This window comes from Homo sapiens, chromosome 9, assembly GCF_000001405.40.
Source record: "Homo sapiens chromosome 9, GRCh38.p14 Primary Assembly".
Lineage (NCBI taxonomy): Eukaryota > Metazoa > Chordata > Mammalia > Primates > Hominidae > Homo > Homo sapiens.
In genome coordinates this window covers 70,045,229-70,066,802 of record NC_000009.12, presented here as the reverse complement: position 1 = coordinate 70,066,802, position 21,574 = coordinate 70,045,229, and the positions used below count along the sequence as shown (strand labels likewise).

The 21,574-nt window shown below is 41.4% G+C and overlaps 1 protein-coding gene across 3 annotated transcripts in view; it reads right to left on the bottom strand.

Annotated features, from left to right (window-relative positions):
• The window catches only part of MAMDC2 (MAM domain containing 2), a 183,392-nt gene that overhangs the window by 160,170 nt on the left and 1,648 nt on the right, over positions 1–21,574 (bottom strand). The gene's annotated exons all lie outside the window — the stretch shown is intronic.

The following is a 21,574-nucleotide window of genomic DNA, read 5'->3' as shown; positions in this document are numbered from 1 at the left end:
TATCTCTACTGTGACCCATCAGCACCATTGCTAGTACATACTTTTAGCACCAGCATGCAATTTAGCAAAAGACAGATGAATTGTAGAAAAACCCCCACTCTGGGATGCCAATTAGAAAAAGATAGCTTTTCCTTTTGGCTGGCACAACCCCTGGCTTGATGAGAAAAGCCAGATGCCTTTGGGTAGCGAACAACCTGTACCATCATACACCATGGCCCTGCAGTAACCCTTCCTAAGCCACTATGATCTCTTGTCTGAACTGTAACCTCTAGCTGCCCCCCTACCTCCCCTTCGCCCTTGCACAGTATACTACCTACACCAGCCTGCGAGATTCTTCTAAAAGGAAAAGAGACGTGACCTTCCTCTTCTCAAAGTCACCCAGTTCCCACTTATTCAGGTAAATCCTGTTAGTTCCTAAGTGCTCTGGCCTGGCTACCTCTTGCTTCATTTTCTACTACTCTGTCTTGCTCCTATTCACTCTGTTCCAGGCACACTGGCTTCTTGACAGTTCTTCATATTCACCAAGCACCCCCTTTCCTCAGGGATTTTGCCCTTGCTTTCCCCTCTGCCTGGAGCACTTGGAACCTGGAGAGTCGCATGTCTGGCTGCCCCATTCCCTTGGGTCTCTGCTGAGCTGTGACAGAGGTCTTTCTGAACTGCCCCAATCTTCCTTCATACCTATCCTCTTACCCTAATTTTTCATAGGACACGATACCATATATGATTATTTATGTGTTTGTGAATGTCATGTTTCCCCTTACCAGAATATAAGTTTCAGGAGAGTCGGAACTTTGTTTCATTCACTACTATATCCCAGGCCCTACATTATGATTTGAAATACTGTGGGTATCAATAGATTCTCTTGAAAGGAAAAATGACTAAATAAACAAACTTGCTCAAGAACAACATTTGGCATCCACTAAAACTTCTGCAAACATGCAAGGAATAGGAGGGTGGAAAAAACAATGGGAAAATGTTCATTAGGGCTATGCAATGTAAGAATCATGAGCTTTGGTAATTGTTACAAAAATAACAAGTGAAATTGTGAAATAATTTTGGTAGAAACACAGTGTACTCCACTCAATGTCTCAACCCAATGACCAGGCCAGGGATTGGAGTGAAGTACACGTTTTCTATCAAAATGCAACATCATAATTTTACATGGTTTTTCTGCCTTATTCTAACTTTCAGGGGCCTCCATGTATTAAAAAAAAAAAAAAAAAGGACGTGGGGTTTTGACTCCTGCTTGGATGAGACACAGTTTATTCTCTTAGATGAAAATTACATCATTTTTCCAATTAGGATTTTTCAAAGCCACCAGAATAGAAATGTGCTTTAGGCATCTCCTAAAGCAAAGCCATTTAAAATAGACTAAAATACTATTTTAAACTACCCAAATATTTACATATGGATAGATTAGTAGTCATCAAAACTCTTGATTTTCTGGACAGAAAGAGGGATTCTTAAGCTGGAATATATTTTATTTTAATCCGTGACATTTTGTGCAACATAAATAGCAAATCTTATCAATATGGAGAAGTTGAATGTACTAGAATGTTCACCACAAAACACCTTTTCAAAGGCAAAAATGAGTTTTCAATAATAAGGTTCTATTTTACACTTGCCTTCAAGATTTAGAAAACCGATACACATGGTTTTTGGATAAGTAGCTCGTAATCCCTGTTAGTCGTTTCTCTAGTATGTTTCCTGTGTGATTTTGACAGAGGGAGGTTTTACTGATTGATTCTTTCATTATATTTCATATAGACAGATGGAGCTAAGATTAAGTATTTTCCCTAAATATTAATTCACATGAAGCTCTTGAATGTTGATTCCACTCAAGTTACAATGGCTTGGCATATTCTTGATTTTATTTTGCTTTGTTTTGTTTTGTAGCACGAGGTTATATAGACAAACTACTAACCCAGGTTTCTTACTGACTGGCTGCTGGCTGCTCTCTGGACTGATTGTGTTACCTTACACAAGTCATTTGACTCTCTGGGACCTCAGTTTCCTCATTAGACAACTAGAGGGTTCTGCTCAGAGGCCTTTGGAGTACCTTCCAGCATACACATTCTGTAGTTCCTCATTTACATGTGTTATGCAGTAAAATTTTTGCCATTTAGGAAGTTGGAGGCACATGGCATGGATGGAAACAGAAAATTATCTGTAAAAGCTGTTTCCTAAAGATGGATTACAAACACTCACACACACTCACACAGACTCACACACACACCCCTTCTCTTTGTCTCCAAGTGCAAACGCAGTTTCAGAAATTACACAAGAAATTGGTTGTAGTGGTTCCTTACAGACAGTGGGATTGGGATTTGGAGGAAAAGAAGGGAGTTTTAAAATTTTAATTCATATATCCGGTGAAAGAATGGAAAACTGAACATTGTATATTCTCATTCATATGGGGGAGCTAAGCTATAAGGACGCACAGGCATAAGAGTGATACAATGGACTTTGGGGACTCAGGTGGAAAGGGGGTAAGGGATAAAAGACCACAAATGGGGTTCAGTGTACACTGCTCGGGTGATGGGGCACAAAGATCTCATAAATCACCACCAAAGAACCTACTCATGTAACCAAACACCACCTGTTCCCCAATAACCTATGGAAAAAAAATTTTAAAAAAATTCATATGTCCTTATATTGTTTTAAAATTATTATATATATATACATCATTTTTATAAAGAAAAGGTTTTCTTATTGTCAGTAGAGATGTGAGAATCACATTTGATTTATTCTTCATACACTTCTTTTTTTAAAAAAATAAAGAATGCTTATCCCTTTGTAATTCAGCAAAAATCAATAAAGATCTTTTTCAGTAAAATTTTATTTTTTCAGGTGGCTTCCATTTAATCAGTGGTGTGGCACATCTAAAAGAGAACAGGCTTTGGAATGAAGCCCACTTGGGTACAAATGCCAGATGCAATATTTAAAAACATACACTTCAGGCAGCTTATTTGAGCCCCAATTTTCTTATCTGTAAAATGGGAATGATAATAATGATACCTAATTACAGGCTTGTAATCTGTTCAACAGATTATAAATAATTAGAATAAAGTGCCTAGCAAGTGTATGGCACAAAGTAGGTTCCAGTGATAACTCTTAATAATACTATTATCACTTTCTTGTTTTATCTTTTAACATCTAATGGTAAATGAAGAGACATTAAGTTATAAGATAAATTAACATTATTTTCAAAAGATGTCTATCTAAATACTTAGTTCTGAAATAGAGTAGTAAATAACGTTCTTATATTTTTCTTTTATTTACTTATTAAATACATATTTCCCAAGCATCTACTATGCGCCCAGTATTGGATGAGGCACTACAAAGATGAACAAGGACACGCACATCACGAACTATGCTCACTCCATCTCTCATTCAGGCCTCTGCTCAGCACTTTCCTCTTTAGAGAATCTTTTCCTGCCCACCTGAGCCAAAACAGCTACCTTTTGCTGTCATATTTCTCTCCATCTCCACGAACCTTATACCACTTGGCTCATCTTACTGTTGTTTGCCTATTTATTTTTTTTCTTTTGAGACAGAGTCTCACTCTGTTGCCCAGGCTGAAGTGCAGTGGCGTGATCTCGGCTCTGCAGCCTCCACCTCCCAGGTTCAAGTGATTCTCCTGTCTCAGTCTCCCAAGTAGCCGGGACTACAGGTGCCTGCCATCACGCCTGGCTGCTTTTTGTATGTATAGTACAGACGGGGTTCACCATGTTGGCCAGGCTGGTCTCAAACTCCTGACCTCAGGTGATCCACCCACCTCAGCCTCCCAAAATGCTAGAATTACGCCTAGTCATTTATTTTAAGTTCCCCTCACCATAACCGATGCTCCATGTGAGACAGATGTTATTATTTTGCTCTCTGTTGAGTTCCCATCACCTGGCATCTGAAGATGCTCAGTAGATACTTGTTGAATGAATAAAAAAATCCGTTTTTGCTGAAAACTGCTAAGTTTTTGTAGATTGTGCCTGTTTATATAGAGTACACCTAGGCAGTAGAAGAATTTATTCTGATGGAAATAGCTCCTTCTCTTCAACAGCCAGACCCAGAGCTCCAACCCTGGTGATCCAGTTAAGAAGGCCACATTTACAGGAAAGAAGAAAAACTGTTGTGCCCAGTTCCTGGCTGTTACACCACTGAGGGCTTTTCTTGTCTCTAACTTGCAGAAGTGCAAGTCCATTTCACTTACAGATTCCCTCATCTGGCTAAGTAGTGTCCCAAATACAAACAATGAAAACAGCATGGAAAAATGGGTTTAAATGGAAGCAAATTAGACCTGCTGATCTGATCTTTTTGTTTGGTATAAAGCTTTTTGTTAGCTATAAATTATGGTGGTGACTTAGATATAGATTTAGTATGCTCAAACCTAAAAAACTTTCTTTTTCCTATAGCTCATCTCTTACGATCCTTCAATTAATAACTCAAAAATATTTACTGAGCTCCTATTGCCCTGGTAGAGGGCTGGGAATGGTAGAGGAGACATAGATAAATATATAAAGAGATAGTGTGTGTGTGTGTGTGTGTATACATCTCATATGTATATATCAGTGTATCCAAGTGTATCCTTCCAAAACAACTACTCTGATTTTTTGAAATTAAAAAAAATCAGAAAAGAGGAAAAATGACAAAATGAAACAGCAAGCATAGAAATTTCAAAATCTTAGACAACCAATGGCAGTTTTTAATTTAAACTTCTGTTAAGAAAACTCTCCCTATTGGGTAGACTGCTGCTCAGGCTGGTAGGGAAGCTGGACTCTGGCCATTCTTCAAGGCTTGGGTGTGACCATTACAGCTGAATCCCATTACAGCTGAATCCCATTACAGCTGAATCAACATCTTCATGGTCAGATGGACAACAGGAAAGGCCAAGGGTTTTAGTCCACCTGATTCATCCATGAGTTCTGAATGGCAGCATTTCACTGGATACTTAATCACATGTTTAGCTCACGAGAGCCAAACACCAATTCTACAACCTATACATTCAACAAGTTTTCAGTGCTTTTTACAGGACTGGGACTAGGGTGAGCCAACTGCAGGATCAGAAGCCATCTCTGTTTTCATTTAAAATTTTGTCATTTTGCTCATCATGGAATTTTTGCATTAATTTTGAGTTTTTAAATAGTGTATTAAAATATTATTTATCTTGATCATTTGATTTTTGGCACCATCTTAAATTTTGCACCCAAGGAGAATGCCTCATTTTCCTCACCTTAGTCCAGTTCCTGGTTTGTTATGTGCAGAGCATTTCACTAAGACCCTACAGGGGATGAAGAGAAGGAAGAGATATGGATGCCAACCTCTAGAGCCTAATAGGAGGGGAAAGATATGTTCTGAAAGAATACCAATACAGTGAAAGAGTGATAAGTACTTTAAGAGGGATCTGAAAATAATGACAGTGCTTTGGGAGGCAGGATAGACACCATGACAAGACTTCCTGCCCCAGCCCTGCCACTTCTAGCTGTGTGATGTCAGGCAGACACCATTTAACCAACAGAAACTTCTGCTTCCTCATTTGTGAACTAGAAGGGATGTCACTCACCTCAGAGGGTGGTTGTGTGAACCAAGGTAAAGTGTGCAAAAATTGTAGGGGCCCATGATAAATGGCAGTGATTGGTAGCTGTGGTTCTATTTAAGTGGGCCTGGAGAACACAGATGTAAACTCTTGGTTGTAATACTGGCTATCCCACACCTCCATAGAGAGGCAGGTATAGAAATGCAACACACTGTGCATTTGCATAAGGATGCATGAAAATTAGGGCCAGCCACTCACATCCATTCATTGGCTTTCTTTTTCCCAACTGCTTTGGGAGCTCCACACTGAGTTCTGTGTTATTTGGGATCCTAAAAGAAAAATCCATGATGATGAGAGAGAGTGTTTTCCATGTTACCTGAAGTTTGAGTACCATGATGGGTTCCAGGTATCAGTGGCTTCTCTTAGGGGAAGGGAAGAGAATTAAGACAATTGTTTAAACAATTCATTCAACCAATTCAACATCTGGGACTGGGAAGACCTAGCCACAGATTAGTTAAGGATTTCTCTCTGTCTCTCTCTCTTTCTCTCTCTCTCTGACACAGACAGACAGACAGACACACACACACACCTTCTTACTCATGACTGGGCAGTGTCTTGGAATTTAGTATCTGCATGTTATATATCTTTTCTTTGCTGCAGGAATTGCTTTCTAGATTTGTCAAAAGAAGAAAATGCTATCCTGTTTCTGGGAAATAAATCTGTTTTCCCAGTGGAACACTCATTCGAACCAGCAGACAAGGACAGTTGGGGGTGCCATAACAGCAGGATGAAAGCATAACTGAAAAATTCATTTTTTCTATTCACTGCTTCTGCCTAGATACATCCCTGAGGGAAGCACATCACTTAGGCAGGAAGTCTCCATGATGCTCGAGCTCATCTGTTATTTCTTTTTATTTAAAAAAGCCTGACAAGGTGTCAGCCTTCATAGATTGCTAAGGCTGAATTGCCACAGGGACTAAGATTCATTCATCCATTTGTCAAACATATTCTGAGTGTCTCTCCAGTGCCAAACACTGTGTTGGGCACAGGAGAATCTGGTGACACAAGTGAGAGGGATTCTTTGCTTCGAGTTTAACAGGGTTGATAGACAATAAACACAAAGCTTAGAGTTCAGCAGGGTTGATAGACAATGAACAAATAATTAAATCCACAAGAAAAATATCAGAGAGCCAATGTCCTAGTGAAAGAATTACAATCAGGTGACTGTGAGGAAGGTTGAACTTAAGGTCGATCTTAGCTCAGGAGAGAAGCTAACATTTCAACCAAGGCTTGAATGAAGAGACACAGAATGTTGTGTGAAGGTCTGAAGGAAGAGGGTTCCAGACATGCATAGGAAATGACACTAGTGCACACCCTTACCTATTTAATTCATCAGTGAATCAAGTGTACTGAGCCTCCAGTCAAGGGAGCTCATGAATTGGGTATTTGGGTGTGGCAGTGTAGGCTTCACAAGAACATAGCCTTTGATCTCAGCCCCTTAGCCTCTAATAGATCCTAACATAGCCATCAGCCATTACACTGTCTCTGGAAAAAACGATGAAGAAATCTATTTTCAAGGATTGAGGCCAAAAAGAACTGAATGTTGTAGCAGAAGCTTTCTCTCTACCTGTACTTTATTGAAACTGTCTTTGAACTGTGGAACATGGCGTTGGTTTTGTGATAATGGCACTAGATTACCTGAATGAATGAGGAAAGAACTTGTTCTAGGCTTGGGAAAGCAAGTCATAAAGAACCAAGAGCCAGCGGGAGGAGGAAAGAGGGGAGGGGGTCATGAAAGAAGAGCTTAACACGAAGGATAATAGAACACAGGTCATTATTCTCCTGTGGCTTCCTAATGCACATGTTCATGTCCCATAGCATGAACTTTGGAAATGTTAAAACAAACTATCTAAACCCTAGTTTCTTCATTTGTAAGGGGTACCTTCGTCACTGGGTTGTAAGAATTAAATGAGAGACGCATGCTCGTATGCCATGGGTCAAGAGACATTGCCCACTACAGGATGGAAAGACAGAAGACTGATCTCACTCCTCTGCCTTTATCCCACGGTTGAAGGATTTTCCCTCTTCTCAGGCTTCTGTGGTGTTTCCTGCTTCACCTCGCTACCCGTTTGAGTTCATATGCCTTTTTGCAAAACCCAAGCAGGCAAATATTACATTTTCATTTTTCTTTGTATAAGGATACTTCACTCATTTTCAAAACAAGTCCATCAAGATGATCAAGAAACATAGTTCTACTGGAATTTGTCCAGAGAATGTAGGTCAGTCGTGGGGATCCTCTGAGTGTGAGACTCTCACAGGAGTTCTCAAGTTAATCTCATTTGGAACTTGGAACCAGGCAGAAAATTCTTGTTGTTCCAGGGCACTGTGCCATTTCTAAAGAAAATGATGGATTTCAAATTTTCCCAAGTTAGAACTCATTTCCTCAAATACGAATTCAATTCTCCCTGTGTATGGGAGAACCTAGAAGAACTAATGTTTCTACATGCTTCTCTTAGTCACTCACATCAGAACTCAAGTAGAAAAGTTTCTTGCCTCAAAGTGCAGCAGAAAATAAATGAACGTTGCAATTGCTGTATCCCTCACAGAAGGCAGGCAGGAGCCAGGAAATCTGTTACAAAATATAGCCCTGCTGCCTAGGATCTTGAAGACCTGCAGGCTTCTGTCTGCCTCACCTGTCTCAACCGTAAAATGGGGATAAAAAATGACCCACCCTCACCAGGCCCTTGGGAGGGTTAAACTAATTAATAATAAAAAACACGGAGAACAATATATACCCAAAAGAAACCACTCCATATGGGTTATCTATTTTTATAACTATTATTATTTCTATCACAAGGACCCTTTGAGACCCCATGTCAAGAGAGGATGTAAACAGAGAGGTGACAAAGCAGAATGGTTATGTTCTTAGTCTTCGGAGATAAACCTAGGTTAAAATCCAGGCTCCACCAATAACTTGCTCTATGATTTTGGGAATGTTAAAAAAATTCTAAATCCCAATTTCTTCATCTGTAAAGAACATTTTCTTCATAGGGGGATTATAAGAATTAAATAAGATGATGCATGTCCTGCACTCAGCACAGTGTTTGGTGATAATTGCTCAATAATTGTTCAATAAAATAATTGTCATTATTCATATTCCTATTGAATCTTCAAGTTCAATGCCAACATGCCCACTCAGTGCTCTACAAATGCTTGCAAATGTCACTTTGGTCTTTGAGCTTATTTTTAGCAACTCAAATGAAATCTAAGGATAAAAATTTTTAAACGATTATCAAGGTATCTACTTTCAAATACTGAAATAAAACATTCCAGGCATCACCCTTAGCTCCCAGCTGAGGGCACCTGGATGGCAAGTCCTTCTGCAGCACACCTGGTGGTTTGTGATGGAAACTTAAAGGAGAATGAAATGAAATCTCAGATGGTCTCTCTCCAGGCTTTTTCCTTTGTCAACGTCTCCAAGGAAAAGTCTTTAAATCACTTGAGTCTAAAATCCGGTGCCTTTTGTGCATGACTATGATTCACTGCACATTAGGATGGAAATAATGGCAAATATTATCTATTTCTCCAAGACCAATTAATTTTCTAAGAATTCTTAGACTACTAGGCTAATATTGTGCTCAGCAAGAGATCGCTCATAAATGTGTCCAAACTTATTTTATGACAGGAATATGCTCCCCAAAGTACGAATGACTTCCTAATAACCATCTTGACAAATTAAAGGGGTTAATTAAAAATATAAACCATTTTGCACCCTTTTCATCTTCTAGCAGTTTTTATTGTGAGTAGCTGAGTTTGTGGAGAGACAAGAAGCTTGAGGAATATTCTGAGGCAACTGAGCTGTCTGCTTTAAGCTGTTACACACATAGGTCACCCTCATCCTCTCTCAAAAGCTGCATAATAGCGTACTTGATAGGCAAGAGGGCCACTTGGATCAAACTTGATCATGACAGAAATTAAGACATCATTGGTAATTATTGATATGTTCTTTAATAGGGGATGGTGTAAAAACCTGGGATTGATTTCTAACAGTTAGCAGAATTTTCTTTTGAATTCAATACTCTTTAAAGCAACAGTCCCCAAACTTTTTGGCACCAGGGACTGGTTTGTGGGAGACAATTTTCCCACAAACCAGGGGGTGGGAAGATGCTTTCAGGATGATTCAACCACATTACATTTATTGTGCACTTTATTTCTACTATTATTCATTGCAATACATAATGTAATGATTATACAATTCACCATAATGTAGAATCAGTGGGTGCCCTGAGCTTGTTTTTCTGCAACTAGAAAGTTGCATCTAGGGGCGATGGGAGGCAGTGACAGATCATCAGGCATTAGATTCTCATAAGGAGCACGCAACCTAGATCCTTTACATGTGCAAATTACGTAGGGTTCCCATTCCTATGAGAATCTAATGCCGCTGCTGATCTGGTAGGAGGTGGAGCTCAGGAGGTAATGCAAGTGATGGGGAGTGGCTGTAAATACAGATGAAGCCTCGCTTGCCTGCCTGCTGCTCAATCCTGCTGTGTGGCTGGGCTTCTAGTAGACCGGTACCGATCTGTGGCCTGGGGGTTGGGACCCCTGCTTTAAAGCAAGTACTATAAGTCCTAGTCCACAAGCCCAAGAGAAAATGAATCACGCCGCGTGCCAATACAATGCATCTTCAGATGTGTTATCCCCAACATCACTTATCTTGTATTATACAATATTCAGTACAGAACCATGTATAAGTAGTTTAAATATTTTATATTGACAACATAAGTTGACAACAAAGATACTAAAGTTTAACTCACATTTTCCTCACCAGAATTTATGAAAAAGAAAAAAGATTTTTAGAAACAACAGTGGGATTTCAGATGGCTGTTGCCAATTTTCAGGATTTGTAATGGAAAACCAGAGTTTCTTTCCATAAAGCTTATACTTTAAAGTTGGCTAATATAGGATCAAAACATACTTCACGAGAAAATTCTCCAACAGTCTACCCTATTATTCACTTTTAATAAAGTCAAAGAAATAGAAGAAATCTGTAGACACTTAGAAAACTTCCTGAGTTGTAGTTTTGGATAGATTGTTTTGGTCATAAAATATTGGTAAACGAAGGAGTCAGCTCCTCACTGAAGCAAAAGCATATTAAAGTCATCCTCTTTATAAGCATAGCCCCAAATAACACTTCAGCTCTCCTTGGCAGTGAGGCAAAAGTTTTTCAAATAAGGAATGGAAATTTCTCTAAGCATCTAGCAAAGTTATATATCACAGGACTGTATAGAAACATTGCCATTCTATTAAGAGTAATAGAATGAAGAAGTACCAAAATTCTTATCTAGAAGGGCAACCAGCTTGCAAAAGCACATTTATTTGTGTACTCTTTTAATTCTTTCACAGTAGGAATAGATGAACTTGAAGTTTAGGAATACTCCTTAAGACTGCCAAAGTATTTTAGGTCAAGCTATAAAATTTCCCTGAAGTTCTCTTCCAAGATTATGCTGAGGATTGAGAAGAGAATCCTTCAAATGGTTCCAAGAGCAAACTCTAATCTGTTATGGAAAAGAAATTAGTAAAAACTACATTTCTCTGTCTCTACTTGATGCCTTCCAAAGGCTCACCACTGCCCGGGAGACACACTAGTTGTAGGTGGGGCCTAGAACTCAGGGAAGGAGTTGTAATGTTGGGACATCATCAACACTGATGATGGAGGCAGAGGTTCCCCACCTTCTGCAGAGAAGCGTACAACTTGCAAGTCTGACTTCCTTGGTGTTGACCTCTGGAATAACAAAAGCATCATCCAACTCCAAGTGAATTAGGACCACTTGAAGTTCAAGCCAGGTGAGCTTGGCTTGACATCCCCACTCTCCCACTCTCCAACTGAGTTGCTTTGGGCACGTTATCCTAATCTCTCTGTGTCTCACAGTTTCTCATCTGTAAAATACTGATAATAACCACCTTCAAGATTGTTGTGAAAGTTAAAGATGATGAAAGTAAATGTGCTTGTCAGGCACTATTAAATGCTACCTATAGATCACAGACCTGGGCTGCATAGGAAGCTATTGCATAACTATCTCATTAAGTTTCACTGTGTACTTCTCACTCGGAACTACTTCTATAACAGAAATAGAATATATTATACAGTAACATTCCCATAGACCTAAAACATTCTCCTGCAGCTTATAAAAGACTTGTTTTTGTGTTGTTTTGTTTTTTTAAAGAGACAGGGTCTCGCTAAGTCTCCAGGAGTGGTCTTGAACTCCTGGCCTTAAGGTGATAGTCGCCCACCTCAGCCTCCCAAAATGCTGGGATTACAGGGATGAGCTACTATGCCTGGCCTTGTTTTTGTTTTTCAATGAGTAAGTTCCAGGGCACATCATAATTACCACAGATTCAGCCCAAGCTCCCACCTCCCCTGTATTTACAGTAGAAATAAAATTTCACACATTTGAAGTCGACACTCCAGTGCCCACAAGCCACTCAGTGGAGGGTACTTGGAATTATACGGGTACAAAGGAATTCCCAGGCTCTTAGGGTTTCTGAATCATCAAAGTGGAACTTGGATCTAATCCAGAGCTAGCAAGGAAGCCCCCCTCTTTTCAATCTTCTTTCTTTGCTGGTCCCTTCCCCTTACTATAGAAACAAGCTCAAGTCCCCCCTTCCTAAAACAAAACAAAACGAAAAAAAAAATAAAACTTTCATCTCAAAGTTTCTTTGTAGGTATGGTTGAACCCCTTTCTTCTCACATCTAAACTTTTTTTGCTGAGAAGTCTTTACCAACTATTGACATTTCCCATTTGTTCCACCCTACTGCATGGGGCCCCACTGATCACGTCCTCCTTTTGAAAATCCTAACTCCTTTGCTTCTACAATCTTCCACTTTCCTAATTCTTCTCATACATGCCCGGTTCTTCCTGTTTCTTTCATGTCCCCATCTCCTTCCTATACCTAATCCTTAAATGTGAGCTCAAGGCATCTTTTCTTAGCCTCCTGCTGTTATTACTTTATCCATTCTCCTTGGGTGATATCATCTCTGCTCGTAATTTTAACTACTACCTTTCTGCTAAAGGTTCCCATACTCCTGCCCAGACTATACCTGATCTTTAGATTCTTACATCAATGCCCTGCTCGAAGTCTCCACTTGGATGTGTCCCAGGCAGCTCAGAACTGATCATATCTTTTTCTACCCTAAGCATGAAGTTCCTCTTGGAACTCTCCCAACTGTTGGCACCATCAACCAAACAGCTGCCCAAACTAGAAATTTCAGAGTCACTCTTCCTCTGACTCATTACTCCTATCAATCAGTACTCAAGCCCTACCAACTTAATCCCCTTTAAGTTGCTTTATTTACTGCTTGCCTTTCACACCTAACACCCCTGCCCTAATTCAGGCCCTCATAATCTCTTCCTTAGATACATGGGTAGCCTCCTAATTAGCCTCCCCATTGGCAATTCTATCTCCCTCAAATTGAGCCTCCTCACAGCTCCTGAATGAACAGGCAGGTCCAGCAGTGAAGTAACAAATGTCCAGTGATAAAGTCACACAAATGCCTCTTCCAGAAGTATCTTGCCTACACCTTGCATCTCTGTATTACTCTTGCCCAAATATTGCTCTCTATACTTCCTGTTGATTCTGAGAGCTAACTGACAACCTTCCAATACCTCCTTCACTGCTTGATCAAATGAAAAGCCTTGACTAGCACACAATTCCTTTTACCTTCTACCACAATTGTGGGTTTTTGTGTCCTCTATTGGCCTAGGGCCGCCACCAAGGGCAGGGACCATGACTGTGAACCCTATGGAGTGTGTACTCATGTACTATGTCCTCCAACTACTAACATAGAACATGATGGATAGTAGACACTTAGATGCTTGTTCACAGTATGAATAGTCTGCAGTAGGGTTTTCTGTAAAACATATTATTTATTCATGATGCAATGAAATTATGGTAATGATACCACTTGTTTTATTATCTTATTCTTAGCCTCAGAATCCCATAAAACACATGCAAATTTCTCACAAAGTAGAGAAAGCAAATATCCTGGAAGATCTGACTTGCAAACCTGATCCTCTGCTTTCTCCATTTGTCATAACCATATATAAGAACTTCTTCCCAGAGCAGACAAATATCCTTATGTGCTTTTAACCATCAAGGTGGGTGCTATGGACATCTCACACCTGAGTACCTCAGAAACACCCGCTCTCCATAGCTAGTTCAAAGTCTGGTCATCCCTTGCCAAAAAATACTTTCCAGCCCCAGCAGTGCCACTCTCAAGGTTGCATTGTGGTTGTTTGTGATGGCAGAGAGTCAAGGGACTTAGGCATCCCTGATGGGTAAATAATCCAAGAGCTTTTTGTCCATTGGCAAATTAGGGATGAAACAGGCCATGTACTGGTGAGACAAGCTGTAATACTGCTTTGCTGTTATATTTGGAAATTACAGCATAAGCCTTCAAACTCTTTGAAGTCCCATGGTAGGAAGGATTACTAAACACAACCTCTTTTACTACAGGAAAAAAATGTTAAGGATTTTTTATTTTTTTTCCATCAATCTCAACAATGGCTTTACAGATTGGTTAAATTCAAAGTGTTTGTTGATGCCACATATTATCAGGCATTGTAAGGAGGATGTGATTCCTGTTCTCAGAGACATAACAGTCTGATGAGGTGACAGGGTGGGGACTCTTATCAGGAGATGCCAATAAGAAGACTTACACAGTGGAAAGTGCAGAGAGCCATGGGAAGGGAGGGTTTTCATCTGGAAAAGTTATGGAATGTTTTAAGAAAAAGCTGGACCTTAAAGCATAGGTGGAACCTAAATAGATGAGCATGGGACAGGAGAATAGAAAAGCAGCATTATACAGGTAAAGAGAACTTTGCAAATAAAACAAGAAGCAAGTAAGTAAAGGGCATGTTGAATGAACAGCACATTAGAGATTAATGGGAAGGAAGAGGAGAAATGTAATTTGGAGCAAACTGTGAAGGGCCTTGAATGCCAAACAAGGCATTTTGCACATTAGCCTGTGGGTAATTGCTAATCATCAAAAGATACTTAAGACGAGGGCATTTCTTCTTTCTTACATCTGGAGAAGCTGGGGAGTTGAAAGCCATTCCAATACACATTCCTCAACCATGGACACATATCACAATCACCTAGGGAGTCTGTTAGTGTGTGTTGTTTTTTAATGATGCCAAGTCTGGTCCCATTTCTGGACAAATAAATCAGAACCTCTTGGAGTAAGACCTGGATATAGCTTTAAAAAAATTTTTTTTTACCTGTTTTAATTTCCAGCCAGGGCTGAGAACCATTCTGTAGGTGAAACTATATCTATCTATCTGTCTGTCTATCTATCTATCTATCTATCTATCTATCTATCTATCTCTATCTATCTAGATAGGTAAATAGATATAAATAGATGGATATGTAATCAAACACTCCAAGAACCTAGACCTGAATGCATAACTACATTTATATGATTTAGTTGGTTAAGAAAAGCATAAGAAAAATTGAAGGAGAGTGCTGGGATAGTTGTTAGACACAAAAATCAGGGTTGACCAACAAGGATACCCAAGACAAGTTTAACTACCTGCTAGCTCTACTTATTGGGATACCCATCACCTCTACTAACATAAATGGATTTCACTCAACTTCTTCAAAACCTAATAGTTTGAAAAGATATAGAAGTAAGACTGATGCTGGGGTGATCTACCAAAGAGGTTCTGTTATTTTAAGAACCAAAATATTTAAATGAATATTACACCCCAAGATACAAGTTACCAAAACATGGTAACTATAGGCTAAAAGATTTGAAGATGGCAACAAAAGCATAAAGTCCTCTGACAAAAATTATTTTTTTCCTCCCCACATATTAGCTGACTTCTGCAATTATGGTATGGGAAACATCCTAAAAATCCCTAGGTGTCTTATTAGGGATCAGGCCAGGATTTGGGTAGCCACTTCCCATTCAGCAACTCTAATTTGAGTAGGGAGGAAACCAGATGGGGTGTTGGCCTTCATAAGGAGGAGGCTGCCCAGACACAGCTTACATCCACAGAAGCCAGTAGAGGCTTAGCAGGCAGATATTACCACCCCAGTTGGGTTAAATCTCAAGTGGAGGGGTCAGGCAAGAGAACTCAAGCACCCAGACTGATTGACAGGAAGGCCAAGGGTTAGGATCTTGTCCAAGAACTTAGGAGATGAGAGATCATAGAAGGCACCAGCACCATCACTAATGGAGCCAATTGATGCTGAGGCACTAGCAGGCTGGGGTGGGAGAATAATGAAGCAGAAAGCAAAGCATTCTTGACAACAACCAATAATTTATAGAGAAAAATGTATCATCTGCTGGGATAGACTACACACTAAGTATGAAACTCAGTGTTATTACTTTATATCCACACCTTGTTCAGCCACACAAAAGTGAGATAAGGCTTACCAGTGCTTAAACTAGAGCCAAATAAGAAAAGTAAGGTTCTTTCTCTGGTTGGAATGAAGAGTAGATGGCATAACTATAAGCAAAAGAAAACCACACTCTCCTTAGGTCCCCAAAAGCTGTTTTGGAAAGCTGTCTGAGTTAGAAAAACTAATGTTTATTTATAAAGTTTATGATGTTGATAAAAGACACATCAAGTAATAGTAAGAATAACATCAGGTTACATGTATAAAGTGCTCACTCTGTGTTAAACGTATTAATGTATATAGTCTTCACAACAATCTCATGTGATAGGTACTTTTACTATCTCAATTTTATAGCCAAGGAAACTGAGACATAGAGAGGATAAATGACTTTCCCAAGCCCACACAGCTTGAAAGAGCAGAGCCTGGATTCTAATCCAAGTCACCCAGCTCCAGAGCTTATACTAACCACGAGGCTTAAGCCGTTCTTCATGATAAGGAACTACCTTTGAAGGGGCAGAATGAACCAGGAGCACGTAGGAAAACACTTAAGGATATGTTTGTGATCTAATACAGTCATTCAACAGGTTCTTTCATTCAACAAATATATATCGAGCACCTGCTATGTGCCAGGCTCTTTTCTACACGCTGAAGATCACAGACGGGTGGGATCCCTATACATCTGAAAGAGTGAATACATGTTACATGGTATGGCATAAAATGTAGTGTTTTGTGGCTTTGTTTGGCCCCAAACACTGCATCTTTGGAATCTGAGTTCTTCCACATGTCTGAAATATAATTAGCTCTCTGATGAAGAGTTTCCAACACAACAAAGTTTCAGAGTTTAGAACCCAGAGTGGAGACAGGGATGTTTCCTCCAATGCTGGAGGAAAAAGAACTGGTGGAGAGCCAAGGAGCTGAGGCAATGTCCAAGGGCTGCCTGACTTGGTCTGTGTAGGAGGAGGCAGCACTGGATGACCTCCAAGGCCCAGCTCTAGGATCTGGGTTCCCAGGAAGCAAGGCAGAAGCAAGGCTGCCCTCAGGCACAGCACAGCACAGCCATGCTCAACCTGAGAGCAGTCACAGCCAGGGCAGCAGCGGGAAATGGCATGTGATACTGCAAGTGTAACTAGGTCACATTTCTGGGGTCGACCATCTCTCCCAGAGGGTGTCAAGGAACATCCCTGACTTGTGCCGATTTCCAGCCCCCATACAATGTGGGGATTGTACTTCTGCTTAGAGAGCTCTAAGAACAACCTGCAGACATAATGCAGGACCAAGTAGCCCCATGCAGATGAGCATAACTCGTCCCTGGCCTTATGAACTTTGTGATGCCAGGGTGGGATGCTGAATCAGCCCTCCAAAATCAGGAAAGGAGCTGTAGTCTGCAGGAAGAAGACTGGTTCTCCTCTCCCAGGAACCTGGGATCCTTGCCAGATTTGTGGCTCTAGCTGAGCCTCAAGAAATAGCAGGCAGGATTCATCACTGTTAATAATAACTGGCACATGACTGAGTGCAGAACTGAAACGCAGATGGCCAAGGAGCTGAGAGTGTCCTTAAAAGAGAAGGGACAAGTTTGGGTGAAGGAAAGGGTATCAGAGAGACAAACACACATGTATTTACACGTGATTTCGGGACATTCTACCATGCCCCCACCCCACCCCTTCATGATGCCCAACCCTGTAGCCCACCTGCCTGCCTCAGATGCTATCACTCACTCCTGGGTACAAAAGCCATCCAACCTTTTTCTGTATTAGGCGATTTCTCAAACCCTGACTCCTACCATGGAAAAACAATGTAGGTCTTCTCTGCAACAAGTGCTTTCAATTTCTCTTTTTACTTCCTGTTCACCTGAGACATTTCTGCAGCTGCCTTCCTCTTCCAGGTAGCTGAGTGTTCCAAACTCCTAATTAAGGGGCAACACCTAGACTTGGCTTTACCCTGCCTCAGCTCCTCAAGTGGCTTCCTCACAGAGTTCAGTTAAAGGTGCTAAGCCACAATGTCCAAAAATGAGAATGAAGCCAATATCCACTCAATGATTCTTTTGAATTGTGCCTGTTTGGATGCAAGGCCAACCGCATGGTCTCCAAGAATCCTCAGGGCAAAGGACCTCTGCCCCCACAGCTGGCATCAGGAAAATGGAATAAGCAGCCCCGATTTCAGCTGAGGACTGCTGCTCAAAGGGGTTTCCAGATCCTCTGAGCTGTGAATAAAGATGATTTTTTTTATAGGATAAATGAATGGAGAAAGATTTTCACAGGATAAAACAGAACCCTGGCTGGGCGCGGTGGCTCATGCCTGTAATCCCAGTACTTTGGGAGGTCGAAGCGGGTGGATCACTCAAGGTCAGGAGTTCAAGACCAGCCTGGCCAACATGGTGAAATCCCATCTCTACTAAAAATACAAAAATTAGCCTGGGGTGGTAGCACATGCCTCCTGAGTAGATGGTACTACAGGTGCATGCCCCAGTTACTCCAGAGGCTGAGGCAGGAGAATCACTTGAACCCGAGAGGCGAAGTTTGCAGTGACCCGAGGTCACGCCATTGGACTCCAGCCTGGGCAACAGAGTGAGACTCCTTCTGAAAGAGACAAAACAAAAAACAAAAACAGATCCCTTCTTTGCCGGATTCAATTCAAACTTAAGATTTAGAAGTGAGTTCAAATTTGAGTCTGACATAGTATCACTTCCCTTGACAAGTTAGGGAAAATTAAAATATTCTACAAAAAGAATAGAGGGAGATCAAGAAAGCAGGACAACCATGGGCAAAATGAGAAAGTAGACAAAACTGGGTTTCAGTGCCCGATGCCCTGTATGGTGCACCTGGCATTCCCTGGGGGAAACTGCCATTGGGATAAATAACCCAAGCCAACACAATGCCTGGTCAAAACTTACCTATTCTGTGTCCAGTGGAGATAAAGCATATTTTAAAGTGGCCATGAAATAGAGACACTCGAACTGTAATCAGGGACATCTAGGGACTTAATACTGTAAATCAAAGGCATGAACCTCAGAAACTATTTCAGGCAGCAAAGGGGATATTTAGAGACAAGGAGACTTTTCCAACTACCTCCAGATTTGATTCTCCTGTGATGAAACCCCAGTTCGCAGATTTGTGTCCCAACTTACCTTCCTTCTCTGGCCTTTTGCATTGTTCTCTCCACAATAAATTAACCTACGGACCATGGACATATAAGAAGTGCATCTGGCACATATGTTTATTGCAGCACTATTTACAATAGCAAAGACATGGAACCAACCCAAATGCCCATCAGTGATAGACTGGATAAAGAAAATGTAGCACATATACAGCATGGAATACTATGCAGCAATACCAAAGAGTGAGTTTATGTCCTTTGCAGGGACATGGATGAAGCTGGAAGCCATCATTCTCAGCAAACTAACACAGGAACAGAAAACCAAACACCTCATGTTCTCACTCATAAGTGGGAGTTGAACAATGAGAACACACGGACACAAGGAGGGGAACTTCACACACCGGGGCCTGTTGGGGGTGGGGCGCAAGGGGAGGGAGAGTATTAGGACAAATACCTAAAGCATGCGGGGCTTAAAACCTAGATGACGGGATGATAGGTGCAGCAAACCACCATTCACATTTATACCTGTGTAACAAACCTGCACATTCTGCACATGTATCCCAGAACTTAAAGAAAAAAAAAAAAAGAAGTGCATGTGGGCAAAAGTCTCTGAAACCCACTACTTTCCATGGTGGATCCAGTACATGAAGGTGAATGGAACCATGGAACCAGTTTCAAAGGGTTTCTGCAGGAAGAAGTGCATTTGCAGAGAAGCTTGTGAACAGCTTGCCAAATTTCAGCCTGGAAGAATTTTATTATCTTTAATTTACCAACCTAGAAATGGGCTTATAAGGGAAATTCTTAGCGATGTCTTCTTAGGCAACCACAGCAACTGCCACACACCTACCTCACTGCCCTGGAGCCTGCAGTACACTGTTACGTCCAAGTTCTGGCCTTTGACAAACTGAAGCTGGAACAACTGGAGCCTAACCTGCCTGCTCCACCCTGGAGTGCTCAGAGGAGAATGAATTAACTTCCGCCAGCCAACCCAGTAGTCCCAGTCCTGAGCCAGAAAGCAGTGGTTGTTAGAAAGAATGCAGAAAGCAAAGCCACAGTGCCTTCGTTATACTATTAAACTGTAATCACCTTTTTCTATAAGCATCTTCCTGTTTTCCCTGAAGGGGGATGGTTTAACTGCTGTCCTGGGGCAGAGGTGCCAACTCAGCAGAGAGACTTCCTGTGGGTCTGGGAGGCAGTTGTGTTCAGCAGGCTGTGGCATGCCCACTGACCAGAGGCAGGCTGTGAGGGGGCCCCCATCCTGACAGAGGGCCGGAGGCAGGAACTCAGAGACTAACTAAGGCTCCTGGCTTAAGGAATGATGTTGATTTCCTTTTCTCAGGGCCAGCACTAGGATGAGGCAAGCCAAGTGCTTAGGGAACAAGACTTAAGTAGCTGTTCACTCTCGGGTCCTGCAAGTAGCTCCTTCACCCTAGTGCCAGACCTACTCAGAGCCAACAACAGCACAGGTTGTGTGTGTGTGTACACAGACTGTGGAAGTCGGCAGTTCTCAAAGTGTAGTCCCGAGACCAGCATCATCAGCATCACCTGGGAACTTGTTAGAAATTCTCAGGCCCCCTGAATCAGACACTCAGGAAGTGGGGCCCAGCAATCTGTGTCTTACAAGCCCACCAGGTGATTCTGATGCAGCTGAGGTTTGAGAAGCCCCGTGCTGGAGGAGTGTGCTCTCCAAAGCCAGTCTCGTGGCATTTCTAAGGCCATCTCCCGCAATGCTTCCATACAGCCAGTATAGGGAAAGGGTGAGTGGCAAGATTACAGAGACTTTCCTAAAGCCATCAGCAAGATAGGAATCCCTCGAATAATAAATCAAGAATTGCTTTTTCCCAGCCACCCCTAAGTAGACTGTAGTAGTCAAGACTTGGCAATTGTTGGATAAAGATGGAGATTACTACTGAACCAGTTCCTTCCTGTTTCTTCCTAACTAGACACTCAGAGTTAGCCACTCAGTGACACTGTGATATGGACTAGCCATTTGAATATTCTATGGCTGAGATTCCTTCCTCTGTAAAACGGGTCCAACATCACCTACCTGTGAGGGTCAGAGAAGCTAATGTATGCAGAACCCTGAGTAGAAGCCTGGGGCAGAGTGAGCTGTGGTGACAGTTCATACATCTAACCAGGGGTTCCGGGCTCCATCCTCCCCCAGGGAGCGAGGTGGGAGGATCTGCGGCCTGAGGACAATTGAGTGGGGAAGGAGGTGAGCTGGTTTCATCTAGGGTACCATGTTTTTTAAAGAAGGCTATTTTCCAATCCAAATAGTCTGTGGGCATCAGGCTTCACTGGTGGTGACAAAAGAGAGAGAAAGGAAAGAAGGGACACCCAGTGCCGCCTGCCATTGGGTACTGAGAACCACACTTTAAAACAAAAAACAAAAAAAACTATATAAAGGCAAGATGACACTTCAGAAGACCCCACATTTAAACTTTGTCCTTGGGACCCAAACAGTATAGAGTAGTAAGACAATGACCACCAGTGAGACAGGGACCCCAGGCATTTGGCAGTGTACATGGTTTCTTTTGTCCAGGGCAGGAT